At 46.2% G+C, this 27,205-nt stretch overlaps 1 long non-coding RNA gene across 2 annotated transcripts, besides 2 other annotated features; it reads left to right on the plus strand.

Moving 5' to 3' along the window:
• On the plus strand, positions 1 to 26,853 carry LOC124902678 (uncharacterized). Of its 2 annotated transcripts, XR_007062691.1 has the most exons (4): positions 822 to 2,150; positions 9,086 to 9,153; positions 21,174 to 21,514; positions 25,105 to 26,853. It is a non-coding gene; the product is annotated as an uncharacterized LOC124902678 (long non-coding RNA). The 2 variants fall into 2 exon arrangements; XR_007062692.1 differs by lacking the exon at positions 25,105 to 26,853 and having other exon boundaries at positions 1 to 2,150; positions 21,174 to 22,520.
• Positions 19,482 to 19,983: an enhancer, noted in NCBI's record as "H3K4me1 hESC enhancer chr11:60960971-60961472 (GRCh37/hg19 assembly coordinates)". NCBI's record gives its function as "activates a minimal SCP1, AML or CMV promoter by ChIP-STARR-seq in naive H9 embryonic stem cells {active_cell/tissue: H9 hESC(naive)}" and the evidence as "EXISTENCE:reporter gene assay evidence [ECO:0000049][PMID:30033119]".
• Positions 19,984 to 20,483: an enhancer, noted in NCBI's record as "H3K4me1 hESC enhancer chr11:60961473-60961972 (GRCh37/hg19 assembly coordinates)". NCBI's record gives its function as "activates a minimal SCP1, AML or CMV promoter by ChIP-STARR-seq in naive H9 embryonic stem cells {active_cell/tissue: H9 hESC(naive)}" and the evidence as "EXISTENCE:reporter gene assay evidence [ECO:0000049][PMID:30033119]".
• Positions 26,854 to 27,205: the final 352 nt, after the last annotated feature.

Here is a 27,205-nt window from a genome sequence, read left to right on the forward strand (position 1 = left end):
AAGGCGTTCAATAGGTGTCTCCAGGGCTCCTCCAAGTCAGGCTCTACAGCTGGGAGACCAGAGTGGCCATGGAAGGCATCACTGAGGAGGGAACATTGAGATGATGGCTGAATAGCCATCCACGCAGAAAGCTGGGAGAAGAACCTTCTGGACAGGGAGAACAGGAATTGCAAAGGCCCAAGGTAACCAAGTTCAATAAAAGGCTACTTTTCCATCTCCAGTCTTCCGTCCACACCTGAACACACCATCGTCAACCAGGCCATCGAGGCCACAAGTTACACACCATGACCTCATCACACACTTGATTTGTTGACTCGGAGCAAGTTACCAGCAATGAATTATCAACCCCTTTCCCAGAATGGCAAGCCCTGGGGCTATGTGCAAACTGAGGCGGGAAAATAAGAGGTGTCAATAGAGCTGAGTTTGCTCTGGGCCCAGGGCCATGTAGATAAGCTGGTTATCATCACCAGCTCCAGCTCCAAGAGGCACAGTGGGTGCCACTGCCACCACCAGGAACCCTGGGGTTTGCTTGTCCTCCTGCTGGAACGCCCAGCACACCCACAGGGCCAAGAGGAAAGTAAACGCTCTTGACTAATCTCCCCCAGTGCTATCACAGGGGCCCCCCGAAGGTGGCTGCTCCTTTGGCAGAGTCTGGTTCTTCCATTCCTTCTTGGAAGATGGCCATGGGGCATCAGCACCTGACCATGATGTCTGGTGGCTAGAATTCAACTTGAAATCAGTTGAGACCCAAGTAATGCCCAGGCTTTCCCGGTGGGTTTTCCTTGCTCCATTCTTTGTCTCCATACAGTGAAGCCCCCAGAAAGCATCAGTTGTTCATCCCTCATCAGGGCCTTCAAAGTTCCAAGGTCTTTCTTGAGCCTCAGAGAGGCAACAAGTCCTTGAATGCACCCTTGTCTGACCCTCCCAACTCAGCCAAGAATCCCCTAAAGATGAAATAGAACATTGGGTTTCAATTGTCGAAGTCTGACCAGAAGATGTTCCTTACTCTAAATACAGGCCAGTGTCACACCAACTTACAAGGGTCAGTGTGTTATGAACAAGGAGGGGAAGCTGTGGGGCTGCCAAGCTGGGCACAAGTCAAGCACTAACCGGCACCACTGCCTCCTGCTTCCTGGTGCCACTCCAGCCGGGGCTGCCCCCACTGTGTCTGGCAGCTTCCAATATTGCTTTCCTGCTGCCATAAGATGGCAGGTCTGGCAACAGAACTGGAGCCGGACTTAAGGAGAAAGAGGAAGGAACTTCAGCTCTGGCACCTGCAGACCCCCGAAAGTGACCTACGGAAGCTGGCAGCAGGGACTGCAATTGAGCATTCTCTCACCTTTCCCTTCTCAGAGCTCCCCAAGCCTATGCCCAGGTGGGAAGAGGATTACCTGAGAGCCAGAAGCCCCGGGTCCCAGCACTTCACTAACCTACCTTGCATCCCTTCTGTAAATTATACACCCCAGCTCTCAGTTTCCCCATCTCCGGGATAACAGACTGGACTTGTCCAAGAATAGCAATCATTCCCAATCCAGTGCCGACGCTGGTTGCTAGAACACGTGGCTGAAGGGATTGTATGTTGCTCGGGATTCTGGGGCCACATCCAGTGGTAGGGGGTGCTGTGGTTCGCTGGCAATATCTGCCTTGGACTCAGAATGGAGCATGGTAGACCAGGTGCCACGTCACTGACATGCAGGAGCTAAAGGACCTTTGCACTCCTGCCCAATGGAACATTCCAGCACTTGGATTCTGTGGGATGAGATCTGACAGCCATAAGGCAGAAGTTACCAACTGGGAAGCTCATGGATTCTTCAACAGAAACTCGAGTCAGGCTGATGAATTACCTTTACTAAAGGAATGAATAACAATAAAAAAAATTCTAGGTCCAAGACGTGCCAAGAAAGGTTAGATATATTGGACAATATTTTAAAAGGAGAGATGTTTTGGGTGACCTGCTATTTTGCTGTCCAGCTTGAGATGATGCCAATGGCCACAGAGTAATAAAAGGGCCACTGAATATGGCCTCGTTCCCATGGCTCACCAGCAGTAAGCATCTCTACCACCTCCATGTCTGGAGCAGGAATTCCAGCAGGAAGGACGCAGCCTCCAGAACCATTTGACCAGAAGATCCAAGTGCGACTGGACTGCTGGTAGGTACCACAGAAATCCTAGCTCTCTCCTCCCCACAGCTGGCTGTTCTCTGTTTAAACTTGACTCACTGCATATGTCCCGCTGCCACAGGAGGCCCTTTTCCAATATCTTGTTCCGCTCTGCAGACCCTCTGTTCACGCCCCTGGGCTTCTCTCCCATCCCAGTCTGTCTTGCATCCTGTGCAAGCTGCCCTCCTCTCTGTTATTTAGTTATGAATCCCTCCTCCCTTCCCTTCAAAACACCTCCACTGCTTCAGTCTTTGGCTCCCTCCCTATCCGGGCCCCTGCCCCTTCCCTACAGATGATACTAAAGCAGACAAAGCCAGGGAGGGAGACCCCCATTTTGTTGTTTCTAAAAATGTTCTCATCCTTTCCACTTCCAGGCCCTGATACGGCTCCTCAAAGTCTCAAGCTGATGATCAGACAACCTCGAGGGGTAGTGGTGGGAGACAGCAGGACGAGGGCCGGAGCCGTGGGCAGGGGAGGCTCAGGAGCAACTCAGCCAGTGTGGGGCCCACCCAGGTCGGCCTTGCTTGGGACCCTTGGGATACCACTAAAGACAGAAACTTCAAAATGGAAATGTTTTCAACTTATTACAAAAAAGGTTCAAACATAAAAGTAAAAATGAATAGTGTCATGGACCTCATATTCCATCACTCAGCATCAAGAATTACACTGTTTCTGCAAATCCTTGTTTTATATACACACTCCCCCCTTTTTTTTTTCTTTGTCTCACTTTGTTGCCCAGGCTGGAGTGGACTGGCGTGATCCCGGCTCACTGCAGCCTCCGCCTCCCAGGTTCAAGCGATTCTCATGCCTCAGCCTCCTGAGTAGCTGGGATTACAGGCATGCATCAACACACCCAGATAATTTTTGTATTTTTCGTAGAGACAGAGTTTCACCATGTTGGCCAGGCTGGTCTCAAACTCCTGGCCTCAAGCAATCTACCTGCCTCAGCCTCCCAAAGTGCTGGGATTATAGGCATGAGCTACCGCACCTGGCGACACTCTTACTTTTTAAAAATTTTATTCTTTATATATTTATATTTGCTGTAATATTTTAAGGCATACAGCTTACCATTTCACTGTAAATACTTTATTGTACATTTCTAGGAGATAAGGGTCATATTATATATATATATATATATACACAGCTGTAATTAATATATATATTCAAATATATATATTTATAGCGGCAATGCTCTCTTATTCCAAACAAAACTACCAACTTTTCTTTTAATTACCAATTTTAATATCACCTAATAACCAGTCCATGTTCAAATTTATTTGATTCTCTCAAAAATGCCTTTTAACAGTTGATATATTCAGATCCAGGATCAAGATCTTGAGGTTATCCGCATGTGTTGCATTTGGTGGCTGTTTCTTAAGACTTTTAATGGGCTGGGCGCGGTGGCTTACACCTGTAATCCAAGCACTTTGGGAGGCTGAGGCGGGCAGACCACAAGGTCAGGAGTTTGAGACCAGCCTGGCCAACATGGTAAAACCCATCTCTACTGAAAATACAAAAATTAGCCAGGCGTGGTGGCAGGCACCAGTAATCCCAGCTACTTGGGAGGCTGAGGCAGGAGCATCGCTTGAACCCAGGAGGCGGAGGTTGCAGTGAGCCAAGATTGCACCACTGCACTCCAGCCTGGGCAACAAGAGCGAAACTCCATCTCAAAAAAAAAAAAAGACTTTTAGTAGATAGCAGTCCCCCTTTATATGCCATTAATTTATTTATAAAGTAAGTGTATGGGCCTGTTAGAATGGCCAAAATCCAGAACACTGAGAACACCAAATCCTGGTGAGAATGTGGAGCAACAGAAACTCTCATTCGTTGCTGGTAGGAATGCAAAATGGCACAGACACTTTAAAAGACAGCTTGGCAGTTTGTTATAAAATTAAACATACTCTTGCCATATTACCCATCAGTCACACTGCTTGGATTTACTCAGAGGAGTTGAAAATTTATACCCACACGAAAACCTGCATATGACTATTTATAGCAGCTTTATAATTGTCAAAGCTTGGAAGAAACTAAGATGCCCTTCAGTGAGTGAATAAGAAGATAAACTGTACTCCATCCAGACAATGGATTATTATTAAGCACTAAAAAGAAATGAGCAATCGGCTGGGCACGGTGGCTCACACCTGTAATCCCAGCACTTTGGGAGACCGAGTCAGGTGGATCCATCAAGCTCAGGAGTTCAAGACCAGCCTGGGCAACATGGCGAAACCCCATCTCTACAAAAAATATATATAGAGAAAAATTAGCTAGGCATACTGGTGTGTACCTGTAGTCCCAGCTACTTGGGAGACTGAAGTGGGAGGATGGCTTGAGCCTCGGAGGCAGAGGTTGCAGTGAGCCAAGATGGTACCATTGCACTCCAGCCTGGGCAACAGAATGAGACCCTGTCTCAAAAAATAAAAACGAAAATAAAAATTAAAAAAAGAAAGAAATGAGCTACCAAGCCATGAAAAGGAGGAAACTTAAGTGCATATCACTAAGTGAAAAAAGCCAGTCTTAAAAATGTATATGTGAATACATAATAGTTGTACACATTTATGGGGTACACGGGATATTTTGATTTCAAGTATGCAGTGCGTAATGATCAAATCTGGGTAATTAGTCTATCTAGCTTGGCTGCTGCGAATAGTGCTGCGATAAAAACAGGAGTGCAGATATCTCGTCAATAGACTAATTTCCTTTCTTTCTTTTTCTTTTTTTTTTTTTTTTAGACGGAGTTTTGCTCTTGTTGCCTAGGCTGGAGTGCAATGGCACGATCTCGGCTCATGGCAACCTCCACCTCCCGGGTTCAAGCAATTCTCCTGCCTCGGCCTCCTGAGCAGCTGGGACTACAGGCATGTGCCACCATGCCCGGCTAATTTTTTTTGTATTATTAGTAGAGACGGGGTTTCTCCATGTTGGTCAGGCTGATCTCGAACTCCCAACCTCAGGTGATCCACCCACCTCAGACTCCAAAGTGCTGGGATTACAGGCGTGAGCCACCGTGCCCGGCCGACTAATTTCCTTTCTTTCGGATATATATACCCAGCAGTGGGATTGCTGGATCATATGATAGTTCTATCTTTAGTTTTTTGAAAAATCTGCATTCTGTTTTCCACAGAGGCTGTACTCATTTAAATTTCCACCAACAGTGAATGAGCATTCCTCTTTCTTGGTCTCCTCACCAGCATCTGTTATCTTCTGTCTTTTTGATGACAGCTATTTAACTGGGGTGAGATGATAACTCACTGTGATTTTAATTGGCATTTCCCTGATCATTACGAATGTTGAGTCTTTTTTTCTCCACCCGTTGTCCATTTGTATCCTCCTTTGAGAAGTGTCTATTCAGATCTTTTGCCCATTTTTAATCAAATTATTTGTTTCTTTGCTATTAAGTTGTTTGAGTTCTTTATATATTCCTGGTTGTTATTCCCTTGTTGGATGAATAGTTTGTAAATATTTTCTCCCATTCTGTGGGTTGTCTCTTCACCTTGTTGATTGTTTTCTTTGCTGTGCACAACCTTTTGGCTTGATTTACATCCCATTTGTTAATTTTTGCTTTGTTTGCCTGTGTTTTTAAGGTCTTATCCAAGAAATCTTTGCCCAGACCAATGTCCTGAAGCATTTCCCCAATGTTTTCTTCTAGTAGTTTCATAGTTTCAGGACTTACATTTAAGTATTTAATCCATTTTGATTTGAACTTTTTGCATGATCTAGTTTCATCATTGTTCTGCATAGCATACCCAGTTTTCCCAGTACCTGCAGTGCAATGGTGCAAGCTCGGCTCACTGCTACCTCCGCCTCCTGGGTTGAAGCGAGCCTCCTGCCTCAGCCTCCTGAGTAGCTGGGATTACAGGTGTCTGCCACCACACCTGGCTAACTTTTGTATTTTTAGTAGAGACAGGGTTTCACCATGTTGGCCAGACTGGTCTCAAACTCCTGATCTCAGGTAATCCCAGCACTCGGCCTCTCAAAGTGCTGGGATTGCAGGAGTAAGCTACCGTGCCAGGCCATTTTTTTTTTTAAGACAGAGTCTTGCTCTCTCACCCAGGCTGGAGTGCAATGGCATGACTGATCTCAGCTCACGGCAACCTCCACCTCCCGAGTTCAAGCAATTCTTGTGCCTCAGTCTCCCAAGTAGTAGAGATGGGGTTTTGCCATGTCGGCCAGATTGGTCTTGAACTCCTGGCCTCATGTGATCCACCGCCTCGGCCTCCCAAAGTGCTGGGACTATAGGCGTGAGCCACTGTGCCCAGCACCCCCAGTAGCATTTACTGAAGAGACTGTCCTTTCCCCATTGTATGTTCTTGGTGCCTTTGTTGAAAATGAGTTGGCTAAGAAGCCCATCTTAAAAGGCCATATACTGTATGATTTCAACTATATGACATTCTGGAAAAGACAAAACTATGGAGACAGTAAAACAATCAGTGGTAACCAGGGGCTGGTGGGAGGGAAGGATGAATAGGCAGAGCACAGAGTAGTGAAGCTGTTCTTTATTTTGTGTGCATGTGTGTGTATGAGATGGAGTTTTACTCTTGTTGCCCAGGCTGGAGTGCAATGGCGCAGTCTTGGCTCACTGCAACCTCTGCCTCTCCAGTTCAAGCGATTCTCATGCCTCAGCCTCCCGAGTAGCTGAGATTACAGGCATCCACCACCATGCATGGCTAATTTTTGTATTTTTAGGAGAGATGCGGTTTCACCATGTTGGTCAGGCTGGTCTTGAACTCCTGACCTCAGGTGATCCACCTGCCTCGGCCTCCCAAAGTGCTGGGATTACAGGCATGAGCCACCATGCCCGGCCTTCTGTATAATATCATAATGGTGGGTACCTATCACACATTTGTCCAAACCCATAGAATGTTCAATGCCAAGAGTGAATCTTAACGTAAACCATGGACTTGGGGTAATAATGAAGCATCATCGTAGGTTAATCAATTGTAACAAATGTACCACTCTGGGGCAAGATATTAATAATGGAGAGGCTGTGCATGTGAGGTGGGGTGGCATGGATATATGGGAAATCTCTGTACCTTCTGCTCAATTTTGCAGTGAAGCTAAAACTGCTCTAAAAAGTAAAGTCTGTTTTTTTAAGTAGGGGGAGCATGGAGAGGTCATTTGTCCTACAGGATGTCCCACGTATGGGATTTGAATGATTGTTTTTTTGTTCCTTTACCTACATTATTTCCTATGCCTGGTCATGAGATCTAGACTTGAATTCAAAATTTTAATTAAAATACTTCTTAGGTAGTTCCATATATTCCCTATTGTATCACATAAAGAAGCACATAATTTCTGACTGTCTCACTCTTACAGATGCTAGATTAATCCGCGGGTCCTGGTGTTATCAACCTAATCCATCCAATCCTGAACTTACCCTTCAACCTTCCACCTTACGGTTTTGGCATCTGTTGATGATTTTTGCCCTAGATCCATTGTTTCATTAGAAGTTGCAAAACAATGAGTTCCAAATTCTACCATTCCTTCTGAATTTAATCATTGGAATTTATTATTTATTTATTTATTTATTTATTTATTTATTTTGAGACAGGGCCTCGCTCTGTCACACAGGCTGAAGAGCAGTGGCACCATCATAGCTCACTGCATCCTCAACCTCCCAGGTTCAAGCCATCCTCTTGTCTTGACTTCCCAAAGTGTTGGGATTACAGGTGTAAGTCATCATGCCTGGCCAGGATTATTGGGTTTTTAATAAAAGAGGAGACTCTGTTAACCTTGTAACCTTTGCAGAGAGGCAGAGAGGAACCAGTTAGAGCAAGAGTTGCCATCGCTATAGGTCCCCCTTGCTTTTTTTTTTTTTTTTTTTTTTTTTTTTTTTGAGAAAAAGTCTTGCTCTGTCACCCAGGCTGGAATGCAATGGCACAATCTTGGCTCACTGTAACCTCTGCCTCCCGGCCTCAAGCGATTCTCCAGCCTCAGCCTCCTGAGTAGCTGGGATCACTGGCATGCGCCACCATGCCCAGCTAATTTTTATATTTTTAGTAGAGACAGGGTTTTGCCATATTGGCCATGCTGGTCTCGAACTCCTGGCCTCAAGTGATTCACCCACTTCAGCCTTCCAAAGTGCTGGGATTACAGGTGTGAGCCGCCACACGCAGCCAGGAATTTTTTAATAAAACAACTTTTTTTCCTTATTCCTTAAACTGATGTTTGAAAAAAAACTTTTTAGTCAACTATTTGTGATTACCCAAAATATAGTTCATATAGAAAAAATTAACATAAGTATTGATTATAGTTTCCCTACGTCTACTAATAAGCTGATGTCCTGTGATATCCCATGTTGACAAATTTGGGCAGTAGGGGTAAAACTGACACAGAACCCCAGCCAGGCGCTGTGGCTTATCCCTGTAATCTCAGCACTTTGGGAGGCCAAGGCAGGAGGATAACTTGAGCCCAGTTCAAGACCAGGCTGAACAACATGGCAAAAGCCTGTCTCTACAAAAGAAAATGCAAAAATTAGCTGGGCATGGTGGCGCATGCCTGTAGTCCCAGTTACGAGGAAGGTTGAGGTGGGAGGACTGCTTGAGCCAGGGAGGCAGAGGTTGCAGTGAGCAGAGATTGATTGTGCCACTTCACTCCAGCCTGAGTGACAGAGGTAGACCCTGTGTCAGAAAAAAAAAAAAAAAAGATACAGAGCCCCCAAGTCACTTGCAACCCAACCCTGGGGATCAGATCAGCCTTGGCATTGCTCTACCCAAGATGGGCACAGACTGGATCTGGATCTTGTATGGGAACATGAGGGCCCTGGAAGTCCCAGAAGGAGCCACACCATTCCATTTTCTTTCCTTCGCCTGGAATAATGCCAGTTTAAGAAGGTAGCTCTTCTCATCTCAGGCAAGCAGAAGCTCCTAGTGGTTCTTTTTTTGTCTCTTTTGATTAGCAATACACTTTAATTATTTCTTTTTATTTGGCAGACAAAATGTTTCCAGCCTGGATCCTATCAGGGGAATTACAGCGGGTGCTCATCAAGTGGGAGTTCTCAGTAAGTCAGTTGGTTTATCTGACCCTGGTAGTCTTTCTTTACAAGTGGAAGGAAAATCAATGCATTCCATGTGTTATTCATTCAACAAACATGAATTGAACACCCTCCCTTTCTACCCCTTTTCTACTCTCCCTTTCTAGCCCTCTACACCCTCCCTTTCTAGCCCCCTTTCTACTCCCAACTCTAGGCCAGAAATAAAAACCTACACATCCCACAGTTGCTTAAGTTTTGGCCCACACTATGTTTCTTGAAAAACAAATTAATTAGCTGCTAACAGCTAAAGATCAGGGATTTCACATAAATATCCAGACTTTTGACTTTTTATTTTATGTGTATATATATAAAATGTGTGTTTATATATATGTATATGTATAAACACACATCAGTTTTCATCCACAGTTCCTGGCTCATAACCCGCATAGCCCTTGTTACTGTCTTTTGTTATGAGGTTGGAGTGTGTTAGGCTTCTAACCAGGCCCCAGAAAACAGAATCTTTCTCCCTGACCTCCTTCGGCCTTCTTTTCACCTGCTCCTTTTTCTCTCTAAGGCAGGCCTTAGCACCTAAAAATATATTCTAATCTTCCCCTGCCTCTGTTCATAAAGAAATTCTCTGACTGGCCGACTGCAGGTCATAAAACTCCACTTCAGAGGAGTCCTGCCCCATACCCTGGAGGAAGGAATGCTGCACAGAGAGACCAAGAAGAATCTCAACAGACGGGCATTTCTGGGCTTCTCCACTCAGTCTATCAACACTAGATCATTCCCTTTTTGTTCAATCACACTTTTTTTTTTTTGAGATAGAGTCTTGCCCAGGCTGGAGTGCAATGGCGTGATCTCAGCTCACTGCAACCTCCACCTCCCAGATTCAAGTGATTCCCCTGCCTCAGCCTCCCGAGTAACTGGGATTTCAGGTGTGCACTACCACGCCTGGCTAATTTTTGTATTATTGAGAGGTGACAGCGTGCTGGTCAGGGTTTGCACCCTTAAATGTCTGTCTTTGTCTTCAGGGAGCCAGGGGAAGATTTCCACGCCACAGGCTGGAGCTGGTGTCTATTAATGATTCAAACTTTTTTTTTAAAGACTCATCAAGTGCAGCGGTGAGAGGGAGGGAGTTAAACTCTTTTGGAGGCAGGGCTCATGCCTGTAATCCCAGCACTGTTGGAGGTCAAGGCAGGCGAATCACTTGAGGCCAGGAGTTCGAGACCAGCCTGACCAACACATTGAAACCCAGTCCCTACTAAATATACAAAAAATCAGCTGGGCATGGTAGTGCACACCTGTAATCCAGCTACTTGGGAGGCTGAGGCATGAGAGTCACTTGAACCCAGAAGGCGGAGGTTGCAGTAAGCCGAGATCCCACCATGGCCCTCTAGACCGGGAGACAGAGTGAGACCCTGTCTCAAAAAATAATAATAATAAAATAAATAAATAAATAAATAAAACTCTTTTTGAGGTTCTATATTTGTAACCTGTGCCCACAGCATGAGGATGAATTCTGATCTTCAAGGCAAAACCCTGGCCAGGCATGGTGGTGCATGCCTGTATTTGGGGAGGCGGAGGTGGGAGGGATCCTAGCATTTGGGGAGGCGGAGGTGGGAGGGATCGCTTGAGCCCAGGAGATTGAGGCTGCAGTGAGCTGTGATCATGCCACTGCACTCCAGCTTGGGCAACACAGCAAGACCCTGTCTCTAAGAAAAATAAAATAAAATAAATGTAAATAACAAAGCAGAATTCTGCCCCCTCCACTTTTATCCTTTACCAACTGCAGACCAAAGAGATTCATAAACTTTGTTGAGAGAGAATGTGGAGAAAAAGATGGTTCTTATCAAAATTAAAAATGTCTCTCTTTAAAACGTTTTTGGATTGTAGGATCTCTGTGTTGTATGGAAGCTCGAAAAGATAACTGAGTATATCATTCCCAATTCCGGTTTTGCATCAGAGTCCTTAAGCTTGGGAGGCTTTTTATTATTCATGAACATTGCCTGGGATTCATTTCTAATCTTCTGAAAAGAATCTCAGCCTATTCTTCTCATTATTTTTATGCTGTTTCTTAAGAAGTGAGAAGAAATTACAGCGAGTGACTATAACGTCTATCAGTAGATTGTGTTGAGTAAACGTCCTTAGTTCTAGGTGGTGTCATTAGCCTACAGTTTATAATTTGGGGAAAGTGAAAAAAGCATTAAAGCATATTAAGAAATAAAACACTTTTTTTTTAAAAGACAGCTTTTGGACACTTCTTGTGAGTGTAAATTGATACAGCCTTTTTGGAGTTGATTTGTTCTTAAAATGTGTATGGCCAGGCCGGGCGCGGTGGCTCACGCCTGTAATCCCAGCACTTTGGGAGGCCAAAGCGGGTGGATCACCTGAGGTGGGGAGTTCAAGACCAGCCTGACCAACGTCAAGAAACCCCATCTCTACTAAAAATACAAAATTAGCCAGGCCTGGGTGGTGCATGCCTGTAATCTCAGCTACTCGGGAGGCTGAGGCAGGAGAATCGCTTGAACCCAGGAGGCGGAGGTTGTGGTGAGCCGAGGTCGCACCGCTGCACTCCAGCCTGGGCAACAAGAACAAAACTCCGTCTCAAAAAAATAAAAAAAATAAAAAGTGTGGTCTTTGTCCCAGCAATTTTGCTTTCAGGATTTAGGCTAACTCAATGGTCAGAAATGCCCAGAAACATATATGAGCAGGGATGTAATCTTCAGAGTCTCTTACACAAGGGAAAATCCGGAGCCTCCCAGTGTCTGTTAAGCAGAGTGCCCCAGCATAGGTAGACAATCATGCAGCCATCTTTTTGGTTTTTTATCTTTTTTGTTTCTTCTTTTCTTTAAAAAAAAATTTTTTTTTTTTTTAGAGTAACAGGGTCTCAATATGTTGCCAAGGCTGGTCTCAAACTCCTGAGCTCAAGTTATCCTCCTGCCTTGGCCTCCGAAAGTGCTGGGATTACAGGCGTGAGCCACTACACCCGGCCTTTTTTTTATTCTTTTATTTATGTTTTTATTTTTTTGAGACAGGGTCTCACTCCGTTGCCCAGGCTGAAACGCAGTGGCATGATTACAGCTCACTGCAGCATCAATCTCCTGGGTTCAAGCAGTTCTATCTCACCCTCCGGAGTAGCTGGGCCTACAGGCACGTGCCACCACGTCTGGCTAATTTTTTTGTGATTTTTTTTGTAGAAACGATGTCTCATCATGTTGCCCAGGCTGGTCTTGAACTCATAGGCTCAAGCAATCGTTCTGCCTCAGCCTCCCAAAGTGCTGGGATTACGAGTGTGAGTCACCACACCTGACCTTTCCTAAAAAATATTTTTAATTTGTTTTTTTCTGCAGCCATCTTAAGTCACATGACCCCAGTCTTGCTGAGCGCACATCAATGTTAGACTTTCTGCATGTGAACAGTGTGACATTGCCCATGTAAGCAAATGTCCTTGGAGACACACACTAAAGATTTAGGAGCAAAGGATCATGATGTCTGCAAGTAGCCAGGCATGCGGGGCCCAGAGCCTTTCTGCCCGAGTTCAAACCCCAGCACTGATATGTACGAGTCACGTGACCTTGGAAAAGTTTGTTTCTGGGCCTCAGCGTCCTAATCTGTAAACTTGGGATAAGAATAGTCCCTTCTAGTCATGGGTAAGGGCAAGAGTAGGTATGCTAATGCATGTGGGTTTCTTCCTGGGGTACTGGAAATGTTCTGAGATTAAATCACGGTGATGCTTTTACAACTCCGTAAACATGAAAAAGACCACTGAACTGTACACTTCAGATGGGCAAATTTATGATATGCGAGACACACCTCAATAAAGCTGTTAAACTTTATAAACAACAACAAAAAATCACAGGGAAGAACAGTTTCTGCCTTCTAGGACTACAGTGAGGACTCAATGAATTTAACATATAAAACATTTAGAACATGCCTGTCACCTCGTAGCATGAGCTATTTCTATTTTATTTTATTTATTTATTTATTTTGAAGCGGAGTCTCGCTCTGTCGCCCAGGCTGGAGTGCAGTGGCTCGATCTTGGCTCACTGCAAGCTCCGCCTCCCGGGTTCACGCCATTCTCCTGCCTCAGCCTCCCGAGTAGCTGGGACTACAGGCGGCCACCACCACGCCCGGCTAATTTTTTATATTTTTTAGTAGAGACAGGGTTTCACCGTGTTAGCCAGGATGGTCTCCATCTCCTGACCTCGTGATTCGCCCGCCTCAGCCTCCCGAAGTGCTGGGATTACAGGCGTGAGCCACTGCGCCCAGCCGAGCTATTTCTATTTTAAACACCAGACAAAGACCAAAAGGTTAACAGTTAGCCAAAGGATTTAACACTCATTCTATCCAAAAGGCAACTGTATGGACAATTTTTTTCTCTCCTTATACTTTTCTGAGTTTCTTCCGTGATTGCTTTTAAGATGGTGGGAAAGCTAAGCATTATTCTATAAAAGAGAGGGAAAGACCCCCAATAGAGAGGAGGCTATATCTTTGCTGGGGTTGCCTGGGTTCCTGCTGGAGTGAATTATTCCCCAGAGAAAAAAGGCCATCAGGAAGCCTACTGTCAGTGGAGGACTGACGCCTAGTGGCCAAGGCGGATATTACATGCATACATGTGGTGGTCTTAGACCCGCCCATTGGTTCCATCTACTTAAACAGTTACTTAGCGACATGAAACCACTGTAATATGAACTCTCCTACCTTTAGACCTGCGAATCCCATTTTGAGAAATACATCTCACATAAGTAAATATATGTTTATTATTATTAGTTATAAAATATATATTAGCTACAAAGATTTTCCCAGGGACTCTATTACCAGTGAAAGATGGAAGGCACCCCAGATTCTAAGAGCAGGGAAATTATCAATAGGAAAGAATCTGCTCCTGGCTCTTTTTCTTTTGTTTATTTATTTTTTTTGAGACAGGGCCTTGCTGTGTCGCCTAGGCCGGAGTGCAGTCCGCGATCTCGGCTCACTGCAACCTCTGGCTCCCGTGTTCAGGAGATTCTTCTGCCTCAGCCTCCTAAGTAGTTGGGACTACAGGCACGCACCACCATGCCTGGCTAATTTTTGTTTTTTTGTTTTGTTTTGTTTTTTTGAGACGGAGTCTTGCACTGTCGCCTGGGCTGGAGTGCAGTGGCGTGATCTCCATCTCAGCTCATTGCAACCTCTGCCTCCCAGGTTTAAGCGACTCTCCTGCCTCAGCCTCCCAAGTAGCTGGGATTACAGGCACCCACCACCATGCCCAGCTAATTTTTTGTATTTTTAATAGAGATGGGGTTTCACTATGTTGGCCAGGTTGGTCTCAAACTCCTGACCTCGTGATAAGCCTGCCTTGGCCTCCCAAAGTGCTGGGATTACAGGTGTGAGCCACCATTCCCGGCCTGCTCCTTGCTCTTAAAGTGATGAGCGTGGACTACATCTGCCCATCTGTCTAAAGAAAAGCACAGACCATTTTTACAAATACACAATTTTGATATATTGCAAAAATGTTTGTGCAGAACAGAATGCAATGAAAAATTAGCTGCCTGAGTTTTTATTACAAAGGTTATATGAACTATAGAATACAGTTTTACAATAAATATATTTCCTAAAGAAAGTCTACAATTAATATTATCTTCTAAATAAATATTATGACTTTTAAATGTTTCCAATGGTTAGACACATATATTTGGCTATTTAAAAATATTTCCCAGGTAGACAATGTTTTACTTTAAGGCCTGTTCATTTACTTTTTAAAGTTTTTAAATTTGTTTCTTGTTGAGACAGGGTCTCACTTGTTGCCCAGGCTGCAGTGCAGTTGCACGGTTCACTGCAGCCACAACCTCCTGGACTCAAGCCACCCTTCCACCTCAGCCTCCCAAGAACCTGGAACTACAGGCACACACCACCATGCCCCATTAATTTTTAAATTTTTTGTAGAGATGGGGGTCTCGCTATGTGTCCCAAGTTGGTCTAGAACTCCTGGGCTTAAGCAATCCTCCCACCTTGGCCTCTCAAAGTGCTGGGATTACAGGAGTGAGCCACTGCACCCAGCAAGATCTAATAATAAGAACGTAGCCGGGCACAGTGGCTCACGCCTGTAATCCCAGCACTTTGGGATGCCAAGGCAGGTGGATTGCCTGAGGTTAGGAGTTCGAGACCAGCCTGGCCAACATGGCAAAACCCCGTCTCTACTAATAATACAAAAATTAGCTGGGTATGGTGGCGGAAGCCTGTAATCCCAGCTACTCCAGAGGCTGAGGCAGGAGAATTGCTTGAACCCGGGAGGTGGGGGTTGCAGTGAGCTGAGATCGCACCATTGTACTCCAGCCTAGGCGACAAGAGCGAAACTCTGTCTCAAAAAAAAAAAGTATGTAGATACGTAATGGATAAACAATGGAAAGGATAAAATGCAAACCAAAAAAATAAAGTTGACTTGCCTATAAAAAGAAAGAAAAGAAAAGCACAGCTCAAATCATGAGTAACAAGCACTCTCCCTCCCTCACCTCCTTCCAGTCTCCACTCACACGCCCCCTCCAGGGTGGGGCCCTCTGTGGTCCCTCTGTCTAAAATGTCAACCGTCCTGACACTCCCCATCTTCTTCCTTACTGTAGTTTCTTTCTGGCTTCACAGAATCACACGCTATAATTTGCTTATTTATCTTGTTGGTTATCTGTCTCCTTCCCTGGTGTGTAAACTCATGAGGGCAAAGATTTGGGTCTGTCCTGTTTCTTGATGAATCCTCTGTGCCTAAAATAATAGCTGCTTAATAAATACTTTTGGAATGAACATCATGTGAACTCAATGTTAAGAAAACCCAACGTCATAGGTGCACGCTGAGTGCAACTCTGCAAAAGCAGGAAGCGTGGACATTGCCGCCTGGATGAGTTTGCTCAGGCTGCCACAACAAATGCTACAGACACGGTGGCTTAAACAACAGAAATCGCTGGGCACGGTGGCTCATGCCTGTAATCCCAGCATTGGGAGGCTGAGGCAGGAGGACTGCTTGCATCCAGGAGTTCGAGACCAGCCTGGGCAACATAGTGAGACCCCATCTCTACAGAAAATCAAAAATTAGCCAAGCATGGTGGTGCATACCTGTAGTCCCAGCTACTCAGGTGGCTGAGGTGAGAGGGTTGTTTGAGCCTGGGAGGCTGAGGCTATGGTGAGCCATGATTGCACCACTGCACTCAGCCTGGGCAACAGAATAAGACTCTGTCTCAAACAAAACAAAACACAACACCAAAAAAAAAAAAAAAACAGAAATCTGTGTTCTCACAATTCTGGGGTCTAGAAGCCCAAGCTCAAGGTGTTGGTAGGGTTGTTCCTTCCGAGGCTTCCTTCCTTGCTAGTAAATGGCGGTCTTCTTCCAGTGTCTTCACACGGTCTTTGTGTGTGTTTGTGTCTTAATCTCCTCCTCTTATAAGGACACCACTTACGTTGGATTAGGGCCCACCCTGATGACCTCATTTAATGGTTTTGTTTGTTTGTTTGTTTTTGAGATGGAGTCTTGCTCTGCTACCCAGGCTGGAGTGCAGTGGCTCAATCTCGGCTCACTGCAACCTCCACCTCCCAGGTTCAAGTGATTCTCCTGCCTCAGCCTCCCCAGTAGCTGGGATTACAGATGCCCGCCACCACACCTGGCTAATTTTTGTATTATTAGTAGAGACAGGGTTTCACCATGTTGGCCGGGCTGGTCTCGAATGCCTGACCTCAGGTGATCCGCCTGCCTCGGCCTCCCAAAGTTCTGGGGATTACAGGTGTAAGCCACCGCACCCAGCCCTCATTTAACCTTAATCACCTCTTTAAAGGCCCTGTCTCCAAATACAGTCACATTCTGAGGTACTGGGGGGCAGGACTGTTATATGTAAAAATGTTTATTTAGAAACAGAATGCTTGTTCCCCAGTTCTGCAAAGAAATGGTACTTGAACATAAATGTAATTCTCTCAGCAAGGCCATTTTTACTTTCTGCAGAAAGGGTGCTCGTCGCAGATGCAACAATGGTGAGAACACACCTGAACAAAGGAGGGAAGCAATTTTTATCCTTTATGCAGTTGGTCCCTGCTACTGTGTCCTGTCTTCATTGGCTGGAGCCAGACCTCACAATCTAAACTAAAACTCGATTGGCTAACAGTTTAAAACTTTTCTAAATAGGTAAAAGTAATGGAAAAATAAAGGAAAAGAGGAAGTTGCTTATGCCAAATAGGGAAGGGGCATAGGCTGCGAGCTGGAACGTGACTGTGAGCGTGTCCAGCACAAATATATTGGTTAAGGTACAAGGACGTAGAATGTACTACAAGCCTATGAGCACGTTTAACAGCTACGTAGGATAGGGCCCAACAAAGTTATTTGCATAAAGTAAGGAGGCTTGAAGGAACTTAGTTTTTAAAAGAAACTGTTATTTTTAACACTTATGATTTAATCTTTAACAAGAAGGGAAACGTTGAAGAGGAACTTTTTACTTTCTACACGGACTTCAACGTATGAATTTTAGGGAGGACACAGTTCAACCCATAACACCAAGAAACACAAAGAATGCTGGAATGTGTTTAAAGAATACTGGGCAATTTAAGCATGAAAATAAATGGCAATAATGGATTAGAACTCACTGACCAAAGCAGGAATCTATGACACCACACTGATCAAGAAATACAAACAGATAGGTAAATAAATAGGAAGAAGAAAAGCTTTTCCTTACCAAAGAATGCCAATTAAAAATGTAAAATGTAAAAGAAATGATAGAATTAGAAAGTCACCCCTAGGCCGGGTGCGGTGGCTCATGCCCATAATCCCAACACTTTGGGAGGCTGAGGTGGGCAGATCACTTGAGGTCAGGAGTTTGAGACCAGCCTGACCAACATGGAGAAACTCTGGCTCTGCTAAAAATACAAAAATTAGGCTGGGTGCGGTGGCTCACACCTATAATCCTAGCACTTTGGGAGGCCGAGGCGGGCAGATCACCTGAGGTCAGGAGTGGCAGACCAGCCTGGACAATATGGTGAAACCCCGTCTCTACTAAAAATACAAAAATTAGCTGCTTGAACCTGGGAGGTGGAGGTTGCAGTGAGCCGAGATCACTCCATTGCACTCCAGCCTGGGCGACAATAGTGAAACTCCATCTCTATAAATGAATAAATAAATAAATAAATAAAAATTAAAAAATTAGCCGGGCGTGGTGGTGTGCACCTGTAATCCTAGCGACTGGGGTCGCTGAGGCATGAGAATTGCTTGAACTGGGGAGGCAGAGGTTGCAGTGAGCCAAGATTGCGCCATTACACTCCAGCCTGGGCAACAGAGCAAGACTCAGTCTCAAAAAATAATAATAATAAAGAAAGAATACATCAAACAAACCCTAGTTGAGGGACATTCTGCAAAACAACTGGCCTATACTCTTCAAAAGTGTCAACGTGATGAATGAAAAAGGCAGAGGGAGGGACTGTTCAAGATCAAAGGACACCTGGGAGACCTGGAACCCAAAAGAATGTGCGATCCTGGATTGAGTTGTGGAACAGAAAATTAAAAATCACAAAAAAGGACAATTTTAGGACAACTGGTGAAATCTGAATATGTGCTGTGTATTAGATAATAGTATCGTATCAATGTAAGACTTACTGCCTGTGGTCATTTTGACATCATCCACGTAAGCAAATGTCCTTAGAAACACACACTAAAGATTTAGGAGCAAAGGATCATGATGTCTGCAATTGACTCAAATCATTCAGCCAAAATAATAATAATATGCATGTATGCATGTGTATGGAGAGAGAGACAAAGAGAATAAATTCAGTAAAATGTCAATACGTGAATCTAAAAGCAATTATAATAATAATAATGAATCTGAGTGAAATATATATGGGAATTTGTGGGAGGTGTTTGTTTGTTTGTTTGTTTGTTTGTTTGTTTTGGAGAGGGAGTTTCGCTCAGTCACCCAGGCTGGAGTGCAGTGGTGCCATCTTGGCTCACTGCCACGTCCACCTCCCAGGTTCAAGCCATTCTCCCACCTCAGCCTCCCTAGTAGCTGGGATCACAAGCATGCACCACCACGCCCGGCTAATTTTTTTGTATTTTTAGTAGAGATGGGGTTTTGCCATGTTGGCCAGGCTGGTCTCTAACTCCTGACCTCAGGTGATCTGCCCTCCTCAGCCTCCCAAATATATGGGAATTTGTTGCACTATTCTGGCACTTTTTCTGTAGATTTAAAATATTTTCTTTTGTTGTTGTTGAAACAGGGTTTCACTCGGGTCGCCCAGGCTGGAGTGCAGTGACACAGTTATGGCTCACTGCAGTCTCAACCTTCTGGGCTCAGGTGATTCTCCACCTCAGCCTTCTGAGTAGCTGGGACTACAGGCGTGTGCCACCATGCCTGGCTAATTTTTTCTATTTTTAGTAGAAACAGAGTTTCACCATGTTGGCCAGGCTGGTCTCGAACTCCTGGACTGAAGCAATCCACCCACCTTGGCCTCCCAAAGTGCTGGGATTACAGGATGAGCCTCCGTGCCCGGCTCTCCTTGCCATTTTTACATACTGATATCTCTGGGCTCTGTGCCAGACTGGGGTGGGTGCCAGAGGAAAAGGATAAGACCCCGCCCCTCCCCTTGAGCACAGGGTCGACTGCAGGTGGTCACGCACCATCTGCTGGGTGCTGGGGGGCAAGGCGGCAGCAGGACATGGGAGGAAGGTACGGGGGAGCAGGGTCTGAAGGAGAGCATTAGCAAGGGCCCTCCCCCTCCTCCTCTCTCCTGCCTTCCACCGGGATCTGCCTTGCTCCGAGGCGGAGAGACTGACCCCCAGGCTCCAGTACCCTCCACCTTCAGCCCCAGCTCGAGCTGGGTCCTGGCAGTGCTAGTCCCTCCCTGCGCTCCTTTTGATTTTCCACTGCTGCTGGCTCCCGGTGCCTCCTCATCGCTTTTGGGGTCCTTTACCCTTGCCCACCCCCTCACTAAATCTCTTCAAACCTCTAGGTGGGCCACCTGTTTCCACAAGGATTCTGACACTCTAGGTAATGACAGAGAAACGCTTTCAAAGGGAACAGCTTGTGCCAAGGCTCAGAGGCAGGGGAGGATGTAGCCCAGTGGGAGAATTCAGACCGCCCAGGGCAGGAGGGCAGGAAGGCAAGCTGTTCCAGCCCAGGTCACAGCTCTCAGCATTGAAACTGGGAACTGTGACACCTCCCACCTGAGCCCCACATCCCCCACCCCCGGAGGACGCATTGGCCGGGGCCTGCCTACAGCTTTACCTGAGCCCATCCCGGAGCGTGGACTGGGACACAGGAGCAGGCTCCAGGCTCCACCGTGGATTACACAGGCACACCCCTTGCTGAGGTCGAAAACAGGAGGCTTGTGTTCCTCCTCCACAGTGGCGTGGTTTTGGAGCCTCCAGCCAGGCCCAGAAGCCTCCTCTACCTTTCCTTTTTTTTTTTTTTTTCTTTCTTTCTTTTTTTTTTTTTTTTTAGATAAAGTCTCGCTCTGTTGCCCAGGCTGGAGTGCAATGCTGCAATCTCAGCTCACTGCAACCTCTGCCTTCCGAGTTCAAGCGATTCTCCTGCCTCAGCCCTCTGAGTAGCTGGGATTACAGGCACGCGCCACCATGCCTGGATAATTTTTGTATTTTTAGTAGAGACGGGGTTTTACCATGTTGGTCAGGCTGGTCTTGAACTCCTGACCTCATGATCCGCCCGCCTCGGCCTCCCAAAGTGCTGGGATCACACGCATGAGCCACCATGCCCAGCCCTCCTCTCTACCTTTTCTAGCAATGAAAACTTCATACCTGACAGTCAGCCTGGATGCTTAATGCTCAACCATTCACTCAACATCTACACTGCCCCAGGTCCAGATCTTTGTAAAAATGAGATGCTCCCCTAGGAAGGAGGAACACACTCCTGGACTGATTTCAGCCTCCAGATACTAAGACAGTTTAAATGCCTCCTCCTCCACGATGGCCTCCCATATGTCCCTTGGAAGTAAGCTCCTTTTCTTGAATGACTAGCACTCTGTCCCTTTTATACCCTTCTTAGTGTCTGCCCTAGTTAATAATTTCTACTGTTTTCTGCTTTTTATTACAGTGACTGAGGTATGGGTCTTACTTCTCTCACTCAGATGTAAACCCACTGAGGACAAAACTCATGGCTGATTCATCTCTATCAAGCCTACTGCCTGGCATGTGGAATGTATGAATGAGTGAATGAACGAGAAGATGAACAAGGCAAAGCGCTCATAAGCATGGCCAGTTTGGCCAGGGAGTAGGCTGTAAGAAGACGTCAGAGCCTTCTGCTTGAATCTGCTGCCTTGCCGCCCACCCCAGGCTAAGGCACGAAGACCCTCAAAGCTGCTGCTGCAGGTCCTTTGGAGGAGCAGGCAGCTGGGCTCCCTGGCTCTCCCATCTGGAGCAGGAGGCCCAGGACAGGTGCTTTAAATACCCTCTGGCCACACCCCCAGCCTACTGCCCCTGGCACCAATGGTGGCAGAGTCACAGGTCAGAAACCAGGATTCAGGTCACCCCTTAGAAGGAACAGGGCGTAGATGGGGACAGATTGGATCAGAAAAGGCTGAGGAGGCCAGGTCCAGAGCTGTGCACACCTGGGAGTAACGTGGTATTTGAGATACCGAGGACAAAAGAGCTGCGGCTGTCGGGGGCAGGACGCACTATCAGGGGACCTTAACCTCTGTCCCCAAGAGGGGTTCACACCCCAGGCCACCAGTTTCAGTGGGTTTACACTGGGGCTCTGGGCAGGCGCAGCTCAAGGCAGGTGCTCTGAGGGAGAGCAGGGCTGTGAGGGGCTGGGGAGGCTGGCCCAGAATCTCCCCATGCCCGCCTGGAGACTGCAGGCCAACTTCCTGGTCATGCCCCAGTTCCCAGGAATTTTCCAGCTCCTGCTTAATAGCTCCATCCTCCCTCCATCTGCCCCCAGCCCACTCCCAGTTTCCAAACATTTTCTTTTTTGCTTCCAGTTAACCCTTGCTCTGCCCAGTACCGAATTTCTGTCACTGCCTCCTCCAAGACCTTCTCTTGTATTTTGCCCAAAGCAGGTGTCAGAACCCTTTCTGGGGGCCGAGCAGCTTGGTGTTGGGAGGCTGTGGTTGAGATTCCCGGCTCTCTTACTCCCTTCCCAGGGCTTGGGCAAATTCTTGCCCCCAGTGCCTCCTCTCTGCTTCCTGACTCTCCCTTGAGAGCTTGGACCATAGACCCCAGCACCCTTCCTGCTCAAGGACACACTCCACTCTGAGTATACACCCAACAGAAACACATACATATGTTCTCTAAAAGATGTGTATTAGAAGCCGGGCACAGTGGCTCACGCCTGTAATCCCAGGACCTTGGGAGGCCAAGGCAGGTGGATCACTTGAGCCCAGGAGTTTGAGACCAGCCTGGGCAACACAGGGAGACCCCGTCTACACAAAAATAAAAAAAATTAGCCAGGCATGGTGGCACACACCTGTGGTACCAGCTACTTGAGAGGCTGAGGTGGGAGGATTGCTTGAGTCTGGGAGGTCAAGGCTGTGGTGAGCCATAATTGTGCTTCTACACTCTAGCCTGGGTGACAGAGCAAGACCCTGTCTCAAAAAAAAAAAAAAAAAAAGAATGTGTATTAGAATGACTGTAACTAGCAATAGTAAGTTCTATAGTTTGAAATATCTGGAGGGAGGATATTGAATGCTCCCAAAACAAAGGAATGATAAGGCCAGGCGAGGTGGCTCACACTTGTAATCCCAGCACTTTGGGAGGCCGAGGCGGGTGGATCACCTAGGAACAGTTCAGGGGTTCGAGACCAGCCTGGCAACATGGTGAAACCCCGTCTCACTAAAAATGCAAAAATTAGCCAGGCTTGGTGGCAGGTGCCTGTAATCCCAGCTACTCGGGAGGCTGAGTCAGGAGAATCTTTTGAACCCGGGAGGTGGAGTTTGCAGTGAGCCAAGATGGCACCATTTCACTTCAGTCTGGGCAACAGAGCGAGATTCTGCCTCCAAAAAAAACAAAGGAATGATAAATGTTCAAGATGATAAATATGCTAATTACTCTGATCTGATCACTAAACATTATGTGTACGGAAACATCCCTATGTACCCATAAATATGTACAATTATTACATGTCAATTAAAAAGAAAAGAGCTAGGCACAGTAGCTCATGGTGTAAATCCAGCACTTGGGAAGGCCAAGGCGGAAGGACTGCTTGAGGCCAAGGGTTCAGGACCAGCCTGAGCAACATACCAAGACTTCATTTCTATTGTTTTTAATAAATAAATAAAAGGAGAAGAAAGAAGATGTGTATATAAGAGAACGTTCATAGAGCACTGTTCCTAAGAACTCCACACTGGAAGCTTCCCAAATGCCTATGAACTGAAAAAGAGAAAATAACAGGTATATTGATGCAGAGGAATAATACACAGCAATGAAAATGACTGAGTAACAACTCCACACACCGCCATTCGTGGATGCCTCTCCTAAACATGATTTTGAGCAAAGAAGCACAATGCAAACTAAAGTGCTTGTTATGTGGTACTGCTTAGCAAAAGTACAAAAACAGGGAAATGAATCTTTGCTGTTTGGAAATTAGAGTAGTGATACGCTTGGTTTGGCCCTAGGATAGTGACTGGGAAGAGCCTGGGGTGGGGTCCCGGGGTACCTGACATGCTCTTTTGCTGGGTCTGGGTTGTGGTTACATGCGTGTGCTTGGTTTGTGAAAATTCATCAAGCTGTTTCTTACGATATGCACCTTTCTGTGTGCATATCATATCTTGAGAAAAGTTTTAAAATGATAATGTAGATTTATAAAAATCACTTGTAAAATACAAGACCATGATTTTTCTTTTAAAAGCGGGTTTGGGTTGCAAATAAAGTAGCGCAGCAGAAGCAAGCTGGGCCTATCAAAACAGGTTGGTTGCAAAACATGTGCCATATCTTGTGGTCCTATATTTGTAAGTAAATCAATATATTCATTTACTACGCCAGTGGTGGTTAGTTCTGGGTAGTGGGGTTAAAAGTCATTTAAAAAATTTTATTTACCTATAAATAATCTACAATGATAATGTATTACTTCTATACTTGAGCCAAAAAAGTTATCATCAATTTAACTTTTAAAACCTGCGGGCATCTCTGGAGAAGCAGCCCAGGTCTGGGACTGGGGAGTGGAAAACACAATGTTCTCTTTGGTGTTGGAAGATCCTGTCCCTGGGGTGAGACCTTGATTGAAAACTGCGAGGGGACCAGCTGCCCCAATGCCTATCAGACCAGCTCGATAACATTTATCATGCTTAAGTGCTCTGTCTCAGGCTTGCCGTGACTAGGTTCCTTAGATCTCATTCCATTGCTTGATTTGATTGGTTCATGGAATATTTATGAACACCTGTGCCCTTGGCAGGGGCTGCCCTGCATCGGAGACACTGCTACCAGTGCCCCTGAAAGCCAGGCAATACCATACTGAGTGCCAGGCAGGGCTAATGGCAAAGTAAACGTTGTTGTCTAATCTTTCAGCCGGGCCAGTCTAGTACAATGAGATGATGTGGCTTCCTTGCTGGCAGCCACGGATCAGCCCTGGCTGAAAATCAGATCTCATGGGAGCACGTAGTTGCAGAATCAGGATTCCCTTTTCCATCCCAAGGGTTCTTCTGGTCAAGGGGGCTGAGTGGAATGGCTTCTCCAAGTGCCCCTGGGATGGAGGCTGCAGCCATCATGGAATGTTCCTGTCACACACTAACCCATGAGCAGAAACCAGGTGGATGTACATAGTCACATAGTCTGGCCAGGGACCAGAGCCTCCTGAGACCCAGGTTCAGGTCCCATCTGTGTCATTACTTAGTTATGTGAACCTGCACTGATCACTTAACCCCTCTGAGCTATGTCCGTTGGGAAAAAGTGGGAGTAATAGTTTAATAATTCTTTTTAAAATAATTCAAAGCATTCAGAAAAGCACAAATAGGCACACAAATGTAAGCACTACTATGTTGAGGGAGGTTTGCAGATGACCTGACCAACAACGTCACCTTCTCCCTTTTCAGATCACTCATATTGCCTGAGCAGAAAACCACCTAGCAGAGCACTGAAATGGTCCCAAAAGAGGGAAGAGCAAGAGGCAACCAGGTGGATCTTTTTGGAGTTTTCAAGAGGTTTCCAGTCCTGCTTTCTATTGCTGATGACAAGTTAACACACACTGAATGACTTACAACAACTCACACTGACTCACTATCTCACTGTTTCTGTGGGTCAGGAATCCAGGCTCGGTACAGCTGAGGCCTCTGTCAGTCAGGGATGTCAGCCTGGTCTGTGGTCTCATCTGAGGCTTGACTAGAGAAGGATCTGCTTCCATGCTCACACGCTTGCTGGCAGGATTCAGTTACTTGTAGATTGTCACACTGAAGGCCTGAGTTCCTTGCTGGCTGTCAGCTGGAGGCCACCCTTGGGTCCTTCCCCTTGGGCCTCTTTATAGGGCAGCTTTCTTTATCAGAGCCAGCAAGAGGAAGAGTCTATACAGACAGTGTGCTAGCAAGACACAAGCTACAAGCCTGTATAATGTCATCGCAAAAGCAACATCCCATCTACTTTGCTGTATCCTGTTGGCTAGAAGCAAGTCCTGCCTACACAAAAGGGGAGGGGATTACGCAGGGATGTGAACACCAGCAGCATGAATAATTGGGGGCCATCCTACAGTCTCTCTGCCATACCCCTGAATTGGTGTCAGCAAGCATGCCAGCGTCCCTCAGGGTGCTAAAATCTCTAATGTGGAGAAACATTATCATCTTCACCAATCTGAGAGCTTCCCCTCAATGTGATCCAAATATCCATCCAGGTGGAAAGGAAGAGCCCCTTCCACACCAGCTTTCCCTTCAACTGACCACAAATGCGCCAAAGGCACGGCCTAGTCCTACCATGCTCAGGGATGTACCCTCTGCAGCTAGAGCATCCCTGCACGGTACACAGCAAGTGCACAATAAGGCATTTGAATGAATGTGTAAAGGGGCTTGCAGGTTTCTGCCTGGGGAATCTTCCTTCTGCTTCCCAAATATACTTCTCTGCTCAAAATTCCCATGTGGGCCCCAGACAAACTGTGCCCCCAAAATCAGTGCCCATCCTTGGGCTCCAAGCTCCCTCCCTTCCATCTGGTGGCAGCCTTGAGTGAGGGGATTCCATCTGGTGCCCCCAGAACTTAGGCAGCATCTTCAGGACCATCAGGTTCTTCACATGAGTGCTAGGATCAACCCATACTTAGGTGATGGATACTCCAAATACCCTGACTTCATCATTACTCTTTCTATGCCTGTAACAGAATATCACATGTACCCAAAAAAAATATGTAAAATATTATGTATCCATAAAGAGAGAGAGGGCCAGGTGCAGTGTGGTTCACTGTAATCCCAGCACTTTGAGAAGCTGAGGCAGGAAGATCGCTTGAGCCCAGGAGTTCGAAACCAGCCTGGGCCACATAGTGAAGCCCTGTCTCTACAGAAAATACAAAAGTTAGCTCGGTGTAGTGGCTCATGCCTTTCATCCCAGCTACTCAGAGCCTGAGGCCAGAGGACTAATTGAGCGTGGGAGGCTGAGGCTGCAGTAAGCCATGATCACCCCACTACGCTCTACCCTGAGTGACAGAATAAGACCCTGTCTCATAAAACAGAGAGAGAGGCTTGAGAGGGAGGAAAGAAAGAGGAAGAGAAGGAGGCACCAGAAGACATGAACGTGGAAAATACAAGGGCTAGTCATACTGGAGTGAGATTCACAGTTAAAAAAAAAGAAAAGAAAACAAAAGAAAATGGGCCCAGGATTCACATTTGGGGCACAAAGATGTCAACTAACAGGGGAGTCTGTAATGTCAATGTGTTTTCTACCAACCACCACTGTCCCTGAACTAATCCACACTGCCCACTCCTCAATACTCACCTGGAGGCACTGGGGGCAACTTGGAGCTTTTATAGAACCTGTGGCTCTCATGGCTGGACAGTCTGAGGATGCCCCAGGGGATCCGATTTCAGAACAAGACCCTGAGACAGGGCTTCCTATCTACCTGGTGACCTCCCCGCTCCCCTGTCCTCCTCCCCAGCAATTTATGCATCAGGGTTTTCACTCTACTTTGTCCACTGAATAAAATCTCACAATCCATTGGGT

Source organism: Homo sapiens, chromosome 11 (assembly GCF_000001405.40).
Source record: "Homo sapiens chromosome 11, GRCh38.p14 Primary Assembly".
In the NCBI taxonomy this organism is placed as follows: Eukaryota; Metazoa; Chordata; class Mammalia; order Primates; family Hominidae; genus Homo; species Homo sapiens.